The sequence below is a fragment of the Homo sapiens genome, chromosome 10 (genome assembly GCF_000001405.40).
Source record: "Homo sapiens chromosome 10, GRCh38.p14 Primary Assembly".
Classification (NCBI taxonomy): domain Eukaryota; kingdom Metazoa; phylum Chordata; class Mammalia; order Primates; family Hominidae; genus Homo; species Homo sapiens.
Genome location: NC_000010.11, coordinates 37,618,847 through 37,635,014, shown reverse-complemented (window position 1 = coordinate 37,635,014; position 16,168 = coordinate 37,618,847). Strand labels below are relative to the sequence as shown.

Genomic DNA, 16,168 nt, shown 5'->3' with positions numbered 1-16,168 from the left:
AAAATGCAAAGGCCTCTCATCTCTCTACCTCACCACCATGCCTGGAGTGCCCCTCACCACCCCTCATTCTTCTGCTGACCCTCAGCGGGCCCTCCAACCTGAGTCAACCCAACTACCTGCTCCTGGGCACCTTCACTGCCCTGTGCTTCTGTGGGCAGCAGGCAGCCCTGACCAAGGGGCTCTCACCCTAGTCTCATCTAGCCCCCGCCTCCCACTGCACCAGCCCCCACCTGTGCTCCCTACCACACACGCATGCTCGGGCCACACGCTCAGTCATGGCAGGCTGCAGGTTTCGAGCCCTGCAGGCAGGGAGGCAGTGGAGGCTCACTGAGAATTTGAGCACAGCGTGGGCGGACCGGCAGTGCTGGGGGACCCAGCGCACCCTCTGCAGCTGCTGGCACAGGTGCTAAGCCCCTCACTGCCTGGGGCTGGTGGTGCTGGCTGGCCGCTCCTAGCGTGGGGCCTACTGAGCCCGCGCCCACCTGGAACTCACGCTGGCGGGTGAGCACTGCTTGTGCAGCCCTGTTTCCCACCCGTGCCTCTCCCTCCACACCTCCCCACAAGCAGAGGGAGCCGGCTCTGGCCTCGGCCAGCCCAGAGAGGGGCTCCCACAGTGCAGCGGCAGGCTGAAGGGCTCCTCAAGCATGGCCAGAGCAGACACCGAGGCCGAGAAGGTGCCGAGAGCGAGCGAGGCTGCTGGCACGTTGTCACCTCTCATTATGGGCAAGGAAACGGACTCGTGGGGACATCTTGCAGCTCACTGTCAATCCCCAAGCCCTCTAAGCTGAGTGAGCTCCTTGGCCTCCCTCCTAGGATGTCACTGTATTGTGCTGCTTCAGCAGCTGTTGTCTTCTGCTTTACACACCTTCTGCAAGACCCTTCCACTTCTTCTGCTCCAACAGCTCTGGGTCTGTTGGTCCTGCCTGGCTATGGCAGAGATAGGAGAAAGAAGTACCTCCTGGATGCGATTGTGTTCTGGGAGGCTAAGAGGCTCCCTCTGGCTTTTCCCTATCTCATGGAGATGTCACACCTGTAATCCCAGCATTTTGGGAGGCTGAGGCAGATGGATCACTTGAGGTCAGGAGTTTGAGACCAGCCTGGCCAACATGGTGAAACCCTGTCTCTACTAAAAATACAAAAATTAGTTGGGTGTGGTTGTGCATACCTGTAATCTCAGCTACTCGGGAGGTTGAGGCAGGAGAATCACTTGAACCCGGGAGATGAAGGTTTCAGTGAGCCAAGGTAGTGCCACTGCACTCCAGCCTGGGTAACAGAGTGAGACTCTGTCTCAAAAAAAAAAAAAAATTGCATCTCACCCACCATGCTCTGTGCTTACCTCTTCTGTGGTGCTGTCTTAGTGACACAAGGAATGATGCACAGATTTCCCTTCCTGGTGCCTCTCTATGTGTCTTGCCTGCTCTGCACTCCCCTGCTCAGACATTACACTGATACATATTTGGGGAATGGAAGAGGGAAGAATTCTAGAACCCACCGAGGAGGCACATGTGGACGTGCTTTTCCCTGAGACTTACTGTCCTCAGGTAAACGGTCAAATATTTAACTGCAAATCTGATTTATGTTCTGACAGAGACTGAAAATACTGGGTTTTTTCCAGAACTGTGAGTTATGCTTTGAATGTTTGTTTCCCCACCAGCACTGGCTTTCCTGACTTTATTTTTCTGTCTTGACTCTATCTTCACTCATCAGTTTGTGACCTCTCAGTCACCCAGACTCACCCTTGGTAATGCAAGACCTTTCTCTCTTTCTCATCCTGGGGAACAACATCCCTCTGCTCCATCCATCCTGTTTCATGCCTTTCCAGCTTAGTTTTAAATTCCTTACTGATTAATTCTATAATTAATGATTTAGATTATTTTAGGGATATAGAGGATATAATGTCAATAGAAAGAGATCTTAGCTCTGTGTTTAAGGACAAAAGTAAATACTAGTAACAATTATTTTGTCTTCTTGACTTGTTCACAAAGTATCTTTATGAAGATACTTATTCATATGGTACCAATGCAATGAAATTATGCACATGGCATAACTTAAAATTTACCTTCACAAATACTTATTTGATGAAAACATGTTCTCAAATTTTACATGTAATTTATTCACAGAGAGTTAATGTAGCATGCGGGTCCCCTATGTAACCTTTTGCAGTTGATCTATTTCTGCAATTTCCATTGGCAGTGTCTGTGAGCTAGGCTCCCATGATGTGATGTGGGGATACATTTTCCGTAACTGATGTCTGGTTCCTTGCTCTTGCTTGGTGCCAATTCTCTCTGTAAAAAAAGAGATGCTCTAAGAATAGCTAATGACTCTTTAATGGATGTTTTCAAGAATAATTCCAGACCCAAGGATTCCCAAATGAGACATGAATACTGAAAATACCTTACACCTTTAGTGATGAACATAGTCCATCCATGGGATAGCAGTGGCTAAAAGCGTATTCTGAATTTGAAATGCTCTTTGCTCTTTGTCAGAGCATTCTTTTATAACCATTTCTATGTCCATTCAAGCAAACATCTATTGGTTTGTTGCCAGGCACTGTGCTAAGTACTGGAGGTAGAAAGATGAAGAACATGCAAACCCTGTTCACAAGTTTACAACGAAGTAGGTCAGAAAGATGCACAAAAATGATTACCATTCCATGTACCATGTACCACCACACATACATATACGCACTCACATTCAGGGTCAGCTTTATGGCTTCGTGGTTTGTGTTGTTGCACAGGGCCGCATGCTTATTTAGATGGGGCCCATGTTTGGTCTAATATTCTGCTGTTACCATGTTGAAATTCTTCACAACTTCTGAACTGGGCTTTATATTTTCATTTTACAATGGGCTGTGCAAATTATGTAGCCAATCCAGCTTATAGCCATGCCCTTTTTTTTTTTCCTCTTGGCTCTGTTTAATACTGTTAGCAGACTCAAATGTTTGAACAATATCCTGTACAATAGAAATAACATATTTAAAATGTCTACACATCAGGCTTTGGGCTTTTATTGATTTCCCAGTAGTGTAGCTTCTGTATTTCTATTTTAAGAAAAAAACAGAAAAGGCAGGGGTTGCAATCCTAGTCTCTGATAAAACAGACTTTAAACCAACAGAGATCAAAAGAGACAAAGAAGGCCATTACATAATGGTAAAGGGATCAATTCAACAAGAAGAACTAACTATCCTAAATATATAGCCACCCAATACAGGAGCTCCCAGATTCATAAAGCAAGTCCTTAGAGACCTACAAAGAGACTTAGACTCCCACACAATAATAATGGGAGACTTTAATACCAAACTGTCGACATTAGACAGATCAACAAGACAGAAAGTTAACAAGGATATCCAGGAATTGAACTCAATTCTGCACCAAGCAGACCTAATAGACATCTACAGAACTCTCCACCCCAAATCAACAGAATATACATTCTTCTCAGCACCACAACACACTTATTCCAAAATTGACCACATAGTTGGAAGTAAAGCATTCCTCAGCAAATGTAAAAGAACAGAAATTATAACAAACTATCTCTCAGACCACAGTGCAATCAAACTAGAACTCACGATTAAGAAACTCACTCAAAACCGCTCAACTACGTGGAAACTGAACAACCTGCTCCTGAATGACTGCTGGATACATAACAAAATGAAGGCAGAAATAAAGATGTTCTTTGAAACTGATGAGAACAAAGACACAACATGCCAGAATCTTTGGGACACATTTAAAGCAGTGTGTAGAGGGAAATTTATAGCACTAAATGCCCACAAAAGCAGGAAAGATCTAAAATTGACACCCTAACATCACAATTAAAGGAACTAGAGAAGCAAGAGCAAACACATTCAAAAGCTAGCAGAAGGCAAGAAATAACTAAGATCAGAGCAGAACTGAAGGAAATAGAGACACAAAAAACCCTTCAAAAAATCAATGAATCCAGGAGCTGGTTTTTTGAAAAGATCAACAAAATTGATAGACTGCTAGCAAGACTAATAAAGAAGAAAAGAGAGAAGAATCAAATAGATGCAATAAAAAATGATAAAGGGGATATCACCACTGATCCCACAGAAATACAAACTACCATCAGAGAATACTATAAACACTTCTATGTAAATAAACTAGAAAATCTAGAAGAAATGGATAAATTCCTCGACACATACACCCTCCCAAGACTCAACTAGGAAGAAGTTGAATCTCTGAATAGACCAATAACAGGCCCTGAAATTGAGGCAAAAATTAATAGCTTACCAACCAAAAAAAGTCCAGGACCAGATGGATTCACAGCCAAATTCTACCAGAGGTACAAGGAGGAGCTGGTACTATTCCTTCTGAAATTATTCCAATCAACAGAAACAGAGGGAATCCTCCCTAACTCATTTTATGAGGCCAGCATCATCCTGATACCAAAGCCTGGCAGAGACACAACAAAAAAAGAGCATTTTAGACCAATATCCCTGATGAATATTGATGCAAAAATCCTCAATAAAATACTGGCAAACCAAATCCAGCAGCATATCAAAAAGCTTATCCACCATGATCAAGTGGGCTTCATCCCTGTGATGCAAGGCTGGCTCAACATGTGCAAATCAATACCTGTAATCCAGCATATCCACAGAACCAATGACAAAAACCACATGATTATCTCAATAGATGCAGAAAAGGCCTTTGACAAAATTCAACAACCCTTCATGCTAAAAACTCAATAAATTAGGTATTGATGGGACGTATCTCAAAATAATAAGAGCTATTTATGACAAACCCACAGCCAATATCATGGTGAATGGGCAAAAACTGGAAGTATTCCCTTTGAAAACTGGCACAAGACAGGGATGCCCTGTCTCACCACTCCTATTCAACATAGTGTTGGAAGTTCTGGCCAGGGCAATCAGGCAGGAGAAGGAAATAAAGGGTATTCAGTTAGGAAAAGAGGAAGTCAAATTGTCTCTGTTTGCAGATGACATGATTGTATATCTAGAAAACCCCATCGTCTCAGCCCAAAATCTCTTAAGCTGATAAGCAACTTCAGCAAAGTCTCAGGATAAAAAATCAATGTGCAGAAATCACAAGCATTCTTATACACCAAAAGGAGACAAACAGAGAGCCAAATCATGAGTGAACTCCCATTCACAATTGCTTCAAAGAGAATAAAATACCTAGGAATCCAACTTACAAGGGATGTGAAGGACCTCTTCAAGGAGAACTGCAAACCACTGCTCAATGAAATAAAAGAGGATACAAACAAATGGAAGAATATTCCATGCTCATGGGTAGGAAGAATCAATATCATGAAAATGGCCATACTGCCCAAGGTAATTTATAGATTCAATGCCATCCCCATCAAGCTACCAATGACTTTCTTCACAGAATTGGAAAAAACTGCTTTAAAGTTCACATGGAACCAAAAAAAAGCCCGCATGGCCAAGTCAATCCTAAGCCAAAAGAACGAGGTGGGAGGCATCATGCTACCTGACTTCAAACTATACTACAAGGCTACAGTAACCAAAACAGCATGGTACTGGTACCAAAACAGAGATATAGACCAATGGAACAGAACAGAGCCCTCAGAAATAATGCCGCATATCTACAACTATCTGATCTTTGACAAATCTGACAAAAACAAGCAATGGGGAAAGGATTCCCTATTTAATAAATGGTGCTGGGAAAACTGGCTAGCCATATGGAGAAAGCTGAAACTGGATCCTTTCCTTACACCTTATACAAAAATTAATTTAAGATGGATTAAAGACTTAAATGTTAGACCTAAAACCATAAAAACCCTAGAAGAAAACCTAGGCAATACCATTCGAGACATAGGCATGGGCAAGGACTTCATGTCTAAAACACCAAAAGCAATGGCAACAAAGCCAAAATTGACAAATGGGATCTAATTAAACTAAAGAGCTTCTGCACAGCAAAAGAAACTACCATCAGAGTGAACAGGCAACCTACAGAATGGGAGAAAATTTTTGCAATCTACTCATCTGACAAAGGGCTAATATCCAGAATCTACAATGAACTCTAACAAATTTACAAGAAAAGAAACAAACAACCCTATCAAAAAGTGGATGAAGGATATGAACAGATACTCAGACACTTCTCAAAAGAAGACATTTATGCAGCCAAAAGACACATGAAAAAAATGCTTATCATTACTGGCCATCAGAGAAACGCAAATTAAAACCACAATGAGATACCATCTCACACCAGTTAGAATGGTGATCATTAAAAAGGAAACAACAGGTGCTGGAGAGGATGTGGAGAAATAGGAACACTTTTGCCCTGTTGGTGGGACTGTAAACTAGTTCAACCATTGTGGAAGTCAGTGTGGCAATTCCTCAGGGATCTAGAACTAGAAATACCATTTGACCCAGAAATCCCATTACTAGGTATATACCCAAAGGCTTGTAAATCATGCTGCTTTAAAGATAGATGCACACGTATGTTTATTGCGGTACTATTCACAATAGCAAAGACTTGGAATAAAGCCAAATGTCCAACAATGATAGACTGGATTAAGAAAATGTGGCACATATACACCATGGAATACTATGCAGCCATAAAAAAGGATGAATTCATGTCCTTTGTAGGGACATGGATGAAGCTGGAAACCATCATTCTCAGCAAACTATCGCAAGGACAAAATACCAAACACCACATGTTCTCACTCATAGGTGGGAACTGAACAATGAGAACACATGGACACAGGAAGGGGAATATCACACACTGGGGCCTGCTGTGGGGTGGGGGGAGGGGGGAGGGATAGCATTAGGAGATATACCTAATGTTAAATGACGAGTTAATGGGTGCAGGACACCAACATGGCACATGTATACATGTGTAACTAACCTGCACATTGTGCACATGTACCCTAAAACTTAAAGTATAATTTAAAAAAAGAAAGAAAATAACAGGATATCTTAGACCCTGGCCACTTTAAGACATAAAATTAATTTTTTAAAAATGTGGTAATTGCATTTTATTTTTTCATTGCTCTATTGTATATGTTTTTTTTCTTTTTTTCTGTCAACTTTTATTTTAAGTTCCAGGGTACATGTGCAGGATGTGCAGATTTGTTACATAGGTAAACATGTGTTTGCTACACAGATCAACTCATCATCTAGGTATTAAGCAGAGCATCCATTAGCTATTCTTCCTTATGCTCTCCTTCCCCAACCCCTCCCCAACAGGCCCCAGCATGTGTTGTTCCCCACCATGTGTCCATGTGTTCTCATTGTTCAGCTCCCACTTATAAGTGAGAACATGTGGTATTTGATTTTCTGTTCCTGCATTAGGTTGCTGAGGATAATGGCTTCTAGTCCCATCCATGTCCCTGCAAAGGACATGACCTCATTCTTTTTAATGGCTGCATAGTATTCCACAGTGTATATGTACCATATTTTCTTTATCCAGTCTATCATTGATGAGTACGTAGGTTGATTCTATGTCTTTGCTATTGTGAATAGTGCTGCAATGAACATATGCATGCATGTATCTTTATAATAGAATGATTTATATTCCTTTGGGTATATACCCAGTAATGGGATTGCTGAGTCAAACGGTATTTCTGCTTCTAGATATCTGAGGAATCACCACATGGTCTTCCACAATGGTTGAACAAATTTACATTCCCACCAACAGTGTAAAATCGTTCTTATTTCTCCACAGCCTCCCCAGCATCTGTTGCTTCTTGACTTTTTAATAATTGCCATTCTGACTGGCGTGAGATGGTATCTCATTGTGGTTTTGATTTGCATTTCTCTCATGATCAGTGATTCAACATATCTTTGTTGAGTGCCTAATAACTGTCAAGCACTGTTCTAGGTGCAAGGATGTATCATTGGGCAAGACAGCAAAACTCCCTGCCCTCATAGAGCTCATAGTTTAGTTAGTGGGGAGAAAATTTAATAAACAAATGATGTTATATCATGTTTGAAGGTGGTAGGTGCTACAGAAAAAGCAGAGCAAGGGAGGGAACATCAGGAGTATTCAAAGAGGGAGTCCGGTTTGAGTAAGGTCAGGAGCTGCAGTGTAAGACATCTTTTCCCATATTTGTCTTTCATAGCATGACTTTAATATTACAACTAAAGAGTTGCACAAAGCCATGAGAGATATGCAGAACCCAACAGGGTGTCATATTGCTATCTTTAAGAATTGGGATTGAGGCACGATGGCTCACACCTGTAATCCTAGCACTTTGGGAGGCTGAGGCAGGAGGATTGCTGAAGCCCAGGAATTTGATTTCTTTTGCACCTCAGCCCCAAATTTCTCTGGTTAATAATTAATCTTGATCAACTAAATTGGAACAAGCTGGAAACACCCACTTGTTTGGAAATCCATAAACACCTTTTAACCCTGGGAATGATGAGCATAGTTACAGAAATAATTAAATAAACCTGACCCACAATACGGTATTTAAGAATCATCTATTAGTACATGTTTGGGTAATTTAAATACTGGCCAAATCAAGATATCTAACAAATAGGGCTCATGATTCAAATTTAAAATATAGTTGATATTATTGTGCTTTTAAGTCAAAAGTTCTAAGTTTACTAATTGTAGTAAACAGTGTTAATATATTAATAAAATCTAAAAATTTGTCCAACGTATGCATTAAATTTATTTCATTTATACAAACATATTTTAGAAAGGTTCTAGTTCTTAGAGGTAGTTGAGGAACATAAGAGAAATCAAATATTTTACATTTAGATATGCAGTTTAAGGCAATTAATGAAGTTGTAGAAGACTCCTTATGAATAGTTGTTAAATTTATATTATAAATAATATGTTATAAATAATTAACATTTATAAGATTATAAATCTTTAAAGCTCCTTATTAAATTATAAATTAAATTTAAAAGCTTAGGTGAAACATAGAGTTTTGATTAGTAGCTTTAGTAAATCATAATAAAGTCCAAAGTAACCATATTTTTCCTGTGCCTAAAAACCTACCCTTAAGGACACCTGAGTTAATTTCACCATTTGAGCTACAGATAGTGATAGCAGTTGATTCTGGGACCCCAACTTGCAGTTTTTTAAAAGGCCTAACTTGCTCTTTTGTTAATTATAAGAGAAACGAGGCAGGGCTGGTGAAGCTTCTCTGCTTCTTTTAAGATGCATGGTTATGAAGGATTTTTCAGAAACTAAGATTAATTTTTATCCAAATAATACTCCAATGCTTGAGATTTCTATAATTAAAAATACATTCACTGAACACAGGTGGTCCTAGATTTTTGAGGGGTAAAAAGACAGGTTCCTTATCCTACTGGATTTTATAGTCTTTTTTTTTTATTTCTTTATTTTTTCAAGACCGAGTTTCACTCTTGTTGCTCAGGCTGGAGTATGGTGGTGTGATCTCAGCTCACTGCGACCTCTGCCTTCCAGGTTCAAGTGATTCTCCTGCCTCAGCCTCCCAGAGTAGCTGGGACTACAGGCGCCCATCATCATGCCTGGCTAATTTTTGTATTTTTAGTAGAGATGGGGTTTCACCACATTGGCCAGGCTGGTCTCAAACTCCTGACATCAAGTAATCCGCCCACCTAGGCCTCCCAAAGTGCTTGGATTACAGGTGTGAGCCACTGTGCCCATCCAGATTTTATAGTCTTGTTGGGGAGACAGGTGTATTTAATAATGACTAAGAAACAGTGCAGAATATGATAAGTGTCGGAAGGAAAAGCCAGGTGAGATCCAGGAGTGGAGCACAGAATTCCACTTGGGGAGCAGGTAGCAAGGAAGTCTAGAAGGGTGTTCTTGAGGAGCAGCCTTTGAGGTAGATGTCAGAGGATCTTTCGGGTACCTGCAGGTAGAGGTGAGGTAGGAGGGCAGGCAGCCACACAGACCAGTGCAGCCAGAGATACAGGGACTAGGACGTGAGAGGCATGTGTAGGGAGTGATGAGTGCAAATGGTGTGGCTGGAGCCTGATGAGATAGGGATGGGGAGGGGAAGTCAGGCCAGATAATTCTATGCTCACTTCCAGCTTCCCCAAACACCGTTCCAATACCTTCCCTCCAGTCCTAAGAACACCTCTTTCTCGATCTCCTGACCTCGTGATCCGCCTGCCTCGTCCTCCCAAAGTGCTGGGATTACAGGCGTGAGCCACTGCACCCGGCCAGAACACCTCTTTCTCTATTCAAATCCTCCCTTTAAGACTCAGGCCTGGTTTGTTCCCTTACTCCAGCATGGTACCTCCCTAAAATTCTTGTCCACACTAGTCTTTTGTCAGGCAATTACATATTCACATATTGTGTTAGCTTTCATGATGAATTATAATGGGAGAGGAACACTTATTCCCAGCTCCTCTTGTTTCCAGGAGGCAGGAATTTTTCCCTGAGTACTCTGGCTTCTCGCTCTGATTGGTAACACCAGGATAAAAAAAAGGGCATAGTTTGTCCCTTTCCCCTCTCCTCCTCTCTCAGGAGCCAGGCTGCCAGATACATTATAGTTTGCTTCTCTGCTTGAGAAGTTTCCTTGGGACAACTTCAACATGTGTTTGTGACTAGGTGGGTTTGTCTTATTCTGGGAATTCATGTTAGGAAGTCCATTATTGCCTCACAACACACATTTTCCAACCGAGTCATTCTCAGCAATGAACATACTCTTGATTTCCATCTTCCTGCTCCTTGCCTATTTCTTAATTGATTTAAACATGGTTATGATAACTCTAAATAAATATTTTACCTCTGCAATGAGAATGCTCACACAAATAGGGAAATAATATATGCCTTTTTTTTTACACCTTGGTTCACTCTCTTATTTGTTCTTTCAGCAAACATTTATGGTTTGTCCTCCATGTCTTTTGTTGATAGATGAGTTTTTTTTATAGGGTTATACTATATATTAGGGCAATACTATAAAAATGTTAAGGGCCACGGTGAAACCCCGTCTCTACTAAAAATACAAAATATTAGCTGGGAGTGGTGGCGGGTGCCTGTGGTCCCAGCTACTCAGGAGGCTGAGGCAGGAGAATGGCGTGAACCCGGGAGGCGGAGCTTGCAGTGAGCTGAGATCGCGCCACTGCACTCCAGCCTGGGCAACAGAGCGAGACTCTGTCTCAAAAAAAAAAAAAAATAGCAGAGATGATAAGCAGGACATGCTCTCTAATCACAATGCAATAATGTTAGAAGTCAATCACAGGAAGACAGCCTCAAGCCTAGTTACATCTGGAAAACACAATAACTCACGGGCCCGAGGGAAAACGATAATGGAAAATACAAAGGCTCAAAAAAAAATGTTAAGGGCTCAAATGTTTGTTGATTGAATGTTCAGGAATTTGGACTTTACTCCATAGGCAAAGAAAAGTAATCAAAGGTAAATAAGACAAGGTCAAAGTCTCCCTCTCCTTTCTTTGCTTAGAGACCAGGTTGAAAATGCAATGGGAACAGGGATCACATTGGCTTAACCGCACATTTATGTATAAATCACCGGGTGTTCCCTGCATTCAGGTTTTCTAGGACTAGCATTAGACACCACAAGGTAAATCTAAGGAGTGGAAGGGGTGATGGTGGCTGCAGAAAGGACAGGTTGAAAATACTTAAAACACATTCCAGTAAGTGTATTTCAGCAGAGAATAGTGGAACACTTAGGGATAGAAAGTGGCAGCTGAAGAAAGGACAGGTTGAGAATACTTAAAACACATTCCAATAAGTGTGTTTCAGCAGAGAATAGTGGAAGACTTGGGCATAGAATGTGACAAAAAGGCCTTCCATATGCCTGCCCTTGGCTGTTTTCCTTATCTTCTTGCAAGGCACCCTAAAAATCATGGTAACTCAACAAAATGTCTATTGATTTTTATACTGCTTGCCTCTTTAAGGCCATAGCACCAGTCCTGCCAGGCTGTTCATCAGCACAGCCCAGCTATTTTGACAGGTGACTCTAACTAGATCTAGAGTCTTAACTTTATTGTATCAAGATATGGATCATGACACCTGATACTTGACAGTAAAACTATAACCTGGAAGGCTCACTTCATTGATTTATTTACAACAGAGGAATGCAACATATCAAATAGCTGCCTTATAGATAAATACAGCCAGAGATGAGGGAAGATCATCATTTTTCCCTCTGTCTGGGAAATTTTAGCACTGCTGAGCTATGTGTGGGAAAAGATTCCCATTCTGGCTTCCTGTTGCTAGGAGGGTTGGCCTAACTAAAGGCAGAATTCAGCTCACAACATTGAAGAGTGCTCCACACAGACCTCTAGGCAGGGTGCACAGGGCTTCCCTCAAAATCTGCAGTCTGCAACTGCATGATGCTTAAAAAAAATTAGTGCTCTCTCTTTGTTTTTTTAACCAGAGGTGTTTCATGTAATCAAAACCAAAGGCTTTGTGGTACTGCTCAGGATGGTGTGCTACTTGTCACAATGTGTTTGCAAAATCAGGAGCCTGAATGAACATGTGTGTGTTTAATTTCCTGGCCACATCCACCACCACAGCAAGGGCTGGGGCTCAGTGTAATACCGGTTTTCACCAGTAATATTGGTTTTCCCCATTGGTCATGGGGAGCGAGACACATGACCAGTGGGGAAGGCTGGCAGACACAACAGCTTGCCTTCTGGTTGCCAAGAAACAGATCGGCCAGCTACAAATGTGGTCAGTCTGAGGAGTGGGATGCCTTTTGCATGGCAAGGACAAGATGACCATACTGACAGTGAAAGATGCCAGTGGATCCTGGGCGTGCTTGGGTGGTCCTGATTTCAACCACTGTAGGTGCTGCCAGACCATGTGACGGGTCAGTCAAACCCTGGGTCCTGATACATCTGTGGACATGGAGAGGTTGATTAACCGGCATCAAGCAACATCTGTTTCCTCCAAATTGCATTCAGTTGTCACAGGGTCTGAAATTCCATCATTAGGAATTCACTACTTTGGTCTTCAAGCCCTTTGTAAAAATTTTCAGGGGTCTCCATTAAAGCAGCCAAGTTCATAAGCAGTGGCTAACAGTCAGCAAAGCTCTTATCACAAGGTGAGTGGGTATCAGGAGTGGAAGAAGCCACCGAGGGCTTCTGAGGCCCTCCTCCAGGACAGCACTTATGCTGAATGCAATTTCTCTTTTTCCTATTAGATTGTGACCTATATAAGATCAAACACTAAATCTTCTTTATTTTTGCCTCTCTTATTGCTACCCACAACCGTATTGACATAGATAAGAAACCTAATGGAGACCTGGAAGCTGAATGCAGGAAAGCCCATCCTCAATCATATAAAATGGCTGCATACTCACATGCCCAGATGGTTCTCTTTCTCATCTCATACCCTCTAATTTTAAGAATTGTGTTGACCAAAGAGTTCCTTGTGCAGCCAGGTTGGACCAATTTCAGATGCAGTTCATCCACTGAAGAGAAAATGTTAGAAGTTATTGGCTCCAAGGTCCCTTTTTTTTATTTGGGGAATTGGATAAAATTAGGTTATCCTGCATCATCACACTTCACTGCAAGCATTACACTTCACTGCAAGCATACAGGTTCCCATTCAACATATTCCATGTGTACAGTTAATCTAAAGAAAAATTCACCCACCTGCCGACCCTAATTCTCCCAGCTGATAACCACACCTTCTACTTTACTAGAACAGAATATGCCTATTTTCAGGAGTACAGATTGTCAACTTCCTCCCTTCCCAATCTTCCATGTCAAATTCATTTATCATTTCATCCATCTTTTTCTGCTTTTTCTGTGGTAGAAAAAAAGTGTAACCTCCTCTTTCTCCCATACTTTATACCCCTTCTCCTCCTCATTCTTCCTTCCTTTCTCTTTCTTCCTTCTTCTCCCTCTACTCTGGTGTTCTAGCTTCCTTCCATCTTTCTAGTTGACCCCAGACTTAAACAAAAACTTTTAAAAAGCCTTCCATATAGCTTTATCTGATGGTCTTTTTTCTTGTTCTCAAATATGTTTAACTCTTCCATCTTAAAAACATTTTTCAAGTGTGCCCCACTTCAAGGCCTCAGCTTAAAGCCCAGTTCACAATTGCCATGCTTCTAGAAGGAGAAGTCCACAGCTCCCTGTGGGCCCAGCTTCCAGTCATCTCCTCCCTATGGCCTTATAATTCTGCTGATGCTGGTCTTGCTGACATCACCTCACAATTATCCTCTTCCCAGGTCTTATTGTCTTTGACCTCCTTGTAGAATGAGACACAGTGGACCACGCCTTCCCACATCTTTTTGGTACACTTCCTCTTGCTTTCATTTCTGACTTTCCTGTTTTTGCGCCTTAGCTTCTCTAACAGTCTGCCAGGGCTTCCATAACCCTGTACCACAGACCAAGTGGTTTATGCAACCTAGACTTATTTCCTCACAGTTCTGGAGGCTGGAAGTTCAAGATCAAAGTGTCAGTAGGGTTGATTTCTTCTGAGGCCTCTTCTTGGCTTGCAGATGGCTATCTTTTTCTAGTATCTTCATATAGTCATCCCTCTCTGGATATCTGTGTCCAAATTTCTTTCATGTATAGGGGCAGCCATCACATTGGCTACCTATGTTACCTCATTTTGCTGTAATTACCTCTTAAAGGGTCATATCTTCTAATACAGTACATTCCCAGATACTAGGGGCAAAGACTTCAACATATGAATTTGGTGGGGGACATCATTGAGACCATAACACTGCCTATTGCTGGATTCTCCTTTGCTCTCTTATTTTCTGGTGCTCTCAGCAATTACCTCAGCTGTTTCCTGTGTTCTGTCTTCATCTGTGTTTCTTAAGAATATGGTTGTAGAATTATGATTACAAATATTCATCCCTTTGCTACATCCCTGACCTGTTGGATCAGAATCCCTGGGAAGAGATTCAAGGAGTGTGCCTTCTGCAGCCTTCGTAGATGATTCTTGTGCACCTCAGAGTCTAAGAATTAAGACTCTGCATGGTGCCCAGTCAACTCATTTACTGCCATGGCTTCTGCTACCATCTCTTGGCAGATGTCTTTACATTTAGGGCTCTTTACCTACTTTTTAAGCTTCAAATCCACATTTCCAACTATTATGTGGACAAATCTACCCTGGTGTCTCATTGATATCTCAAATTCCACATGTCCAAGGTGAAATGCCCCCTCATTCATCTCCAAGTCAGTTCTTCTAAATACCAGACCCCATTTAATGACATTCCTGTCTACTTAAACTTCAGAGCTGGAAACCATAGTGTTCTTCTTTATTTCTCTTATTTCCCCCACCTTCTTCCCTATAAAATTCAGGTCATTCTTCCACAGAAATGTCTCTTCAGCCTGACTCTCCTCTTCTGCATAGAACTGTGTTGATGGTGCAGACCCTCACCACTACTGTCTTCCTTGGGTCACTGCACCAGCCTTACCTCTGGTTTCTCATTCTCTCCACACTGCCATGCAACTCCACACAGCTGCTGGGCTCACTTTTACAAAATCTCAATGTCATCACTTCCCTTTCCCTATTTTAAGCCTTTCTGCGAGCTCCCCTCTTAGATGATGGCATGCCTCCCAGCATGGCTGGTCATCAGAGGAACTGGGGTAGTTTTTAATAACTCAGACTCCCAGGCTCCAAGGCTCTCCTGATTCATTGGTCTGGGCTGACATCCCGGCTATCTGAGGATCAGCCAAGTCTGGGAACACCTAGCAACTGGATTCCAGCCTGCAGGATAAAAACCCAACCCCTCCACTTAGGTGGTTCTCATATGACTTAACCAACCTCCCGAGTCTTGCCTCCCTGTGCCTTCCTCCATGTTCACATAAAACAGGGCTTAGGTTTTTCTAAGTCTGATCTAGTTTCTCGCCATAACTTTGCACCTTCTTTCACCTGAAAGTCCTTTCTCTACCATCCATTGGCAACTCCTAGTCACCCTTAATGACCCAATTGAAAGATCCCCTCTTTTGTCAAGCTTCCCAAGCCCTTGTTGCCCTTCAGCTTGTTATTCCTACTTCTGTAGCACAATTATTACATCACAATGCAATTTACCTATGCAAATATCCAATCTCTCCAAAAGATCAGAAACTAAAGTATCTAATGTCTAGCGACATATAGCAGAAGCCTAGTAAATATTTGTTGGATGAATAATCTTTTAACATATAGGTGCTCTGATTTTACGGATAAAGAAAAAGGCCACAGTGTTTTTGTCATGATCAGAATATGTTTCTGTTCAGAACAAGATTCCAACTAGACTTGGGGCACAGTGGCTCATGCCTGTAATCCCAGCACTTTGGGAGGCCGAGGTGGGCAGATCT

General features: G+C 41.9%; 1 long non-coding RNA gene across 3 annotated transcripts; it reads right to left on the bottom strand.

The window, feature by feature from the left end:
- Nucleotides 1-2,092: 2,092 nt before the first annotated feature.
- LOC102724533 (uncharacterized) lies at nt 2,093-15,840 on the bottom strand. Of its 3 annotated transcripts, XR_001747293.1 has the most exons (4): nt 15,744-15,840; nt 13,508-13,661; nt 13,213-13,323; nt 2,093-2,285 (listed from the first exon to the last, which is right to left on the bottom strand). It is a non-coding gene; the product is annotated as an uncharacterized LOC102724533 (long non-coding RNA). The 3 variants fall into 3 exon arrangements; XR_001747291.1 differs by lacking the exon at nt 13,508-13,661 and having other exon boundaries at nt 15,636-15,840; XR_001747292.1 differs by lacking the exon at nt 13,508-13,661.
- Between the last annotated feature and the right edge of the window lie 328 nt (nt 15,841-16,168).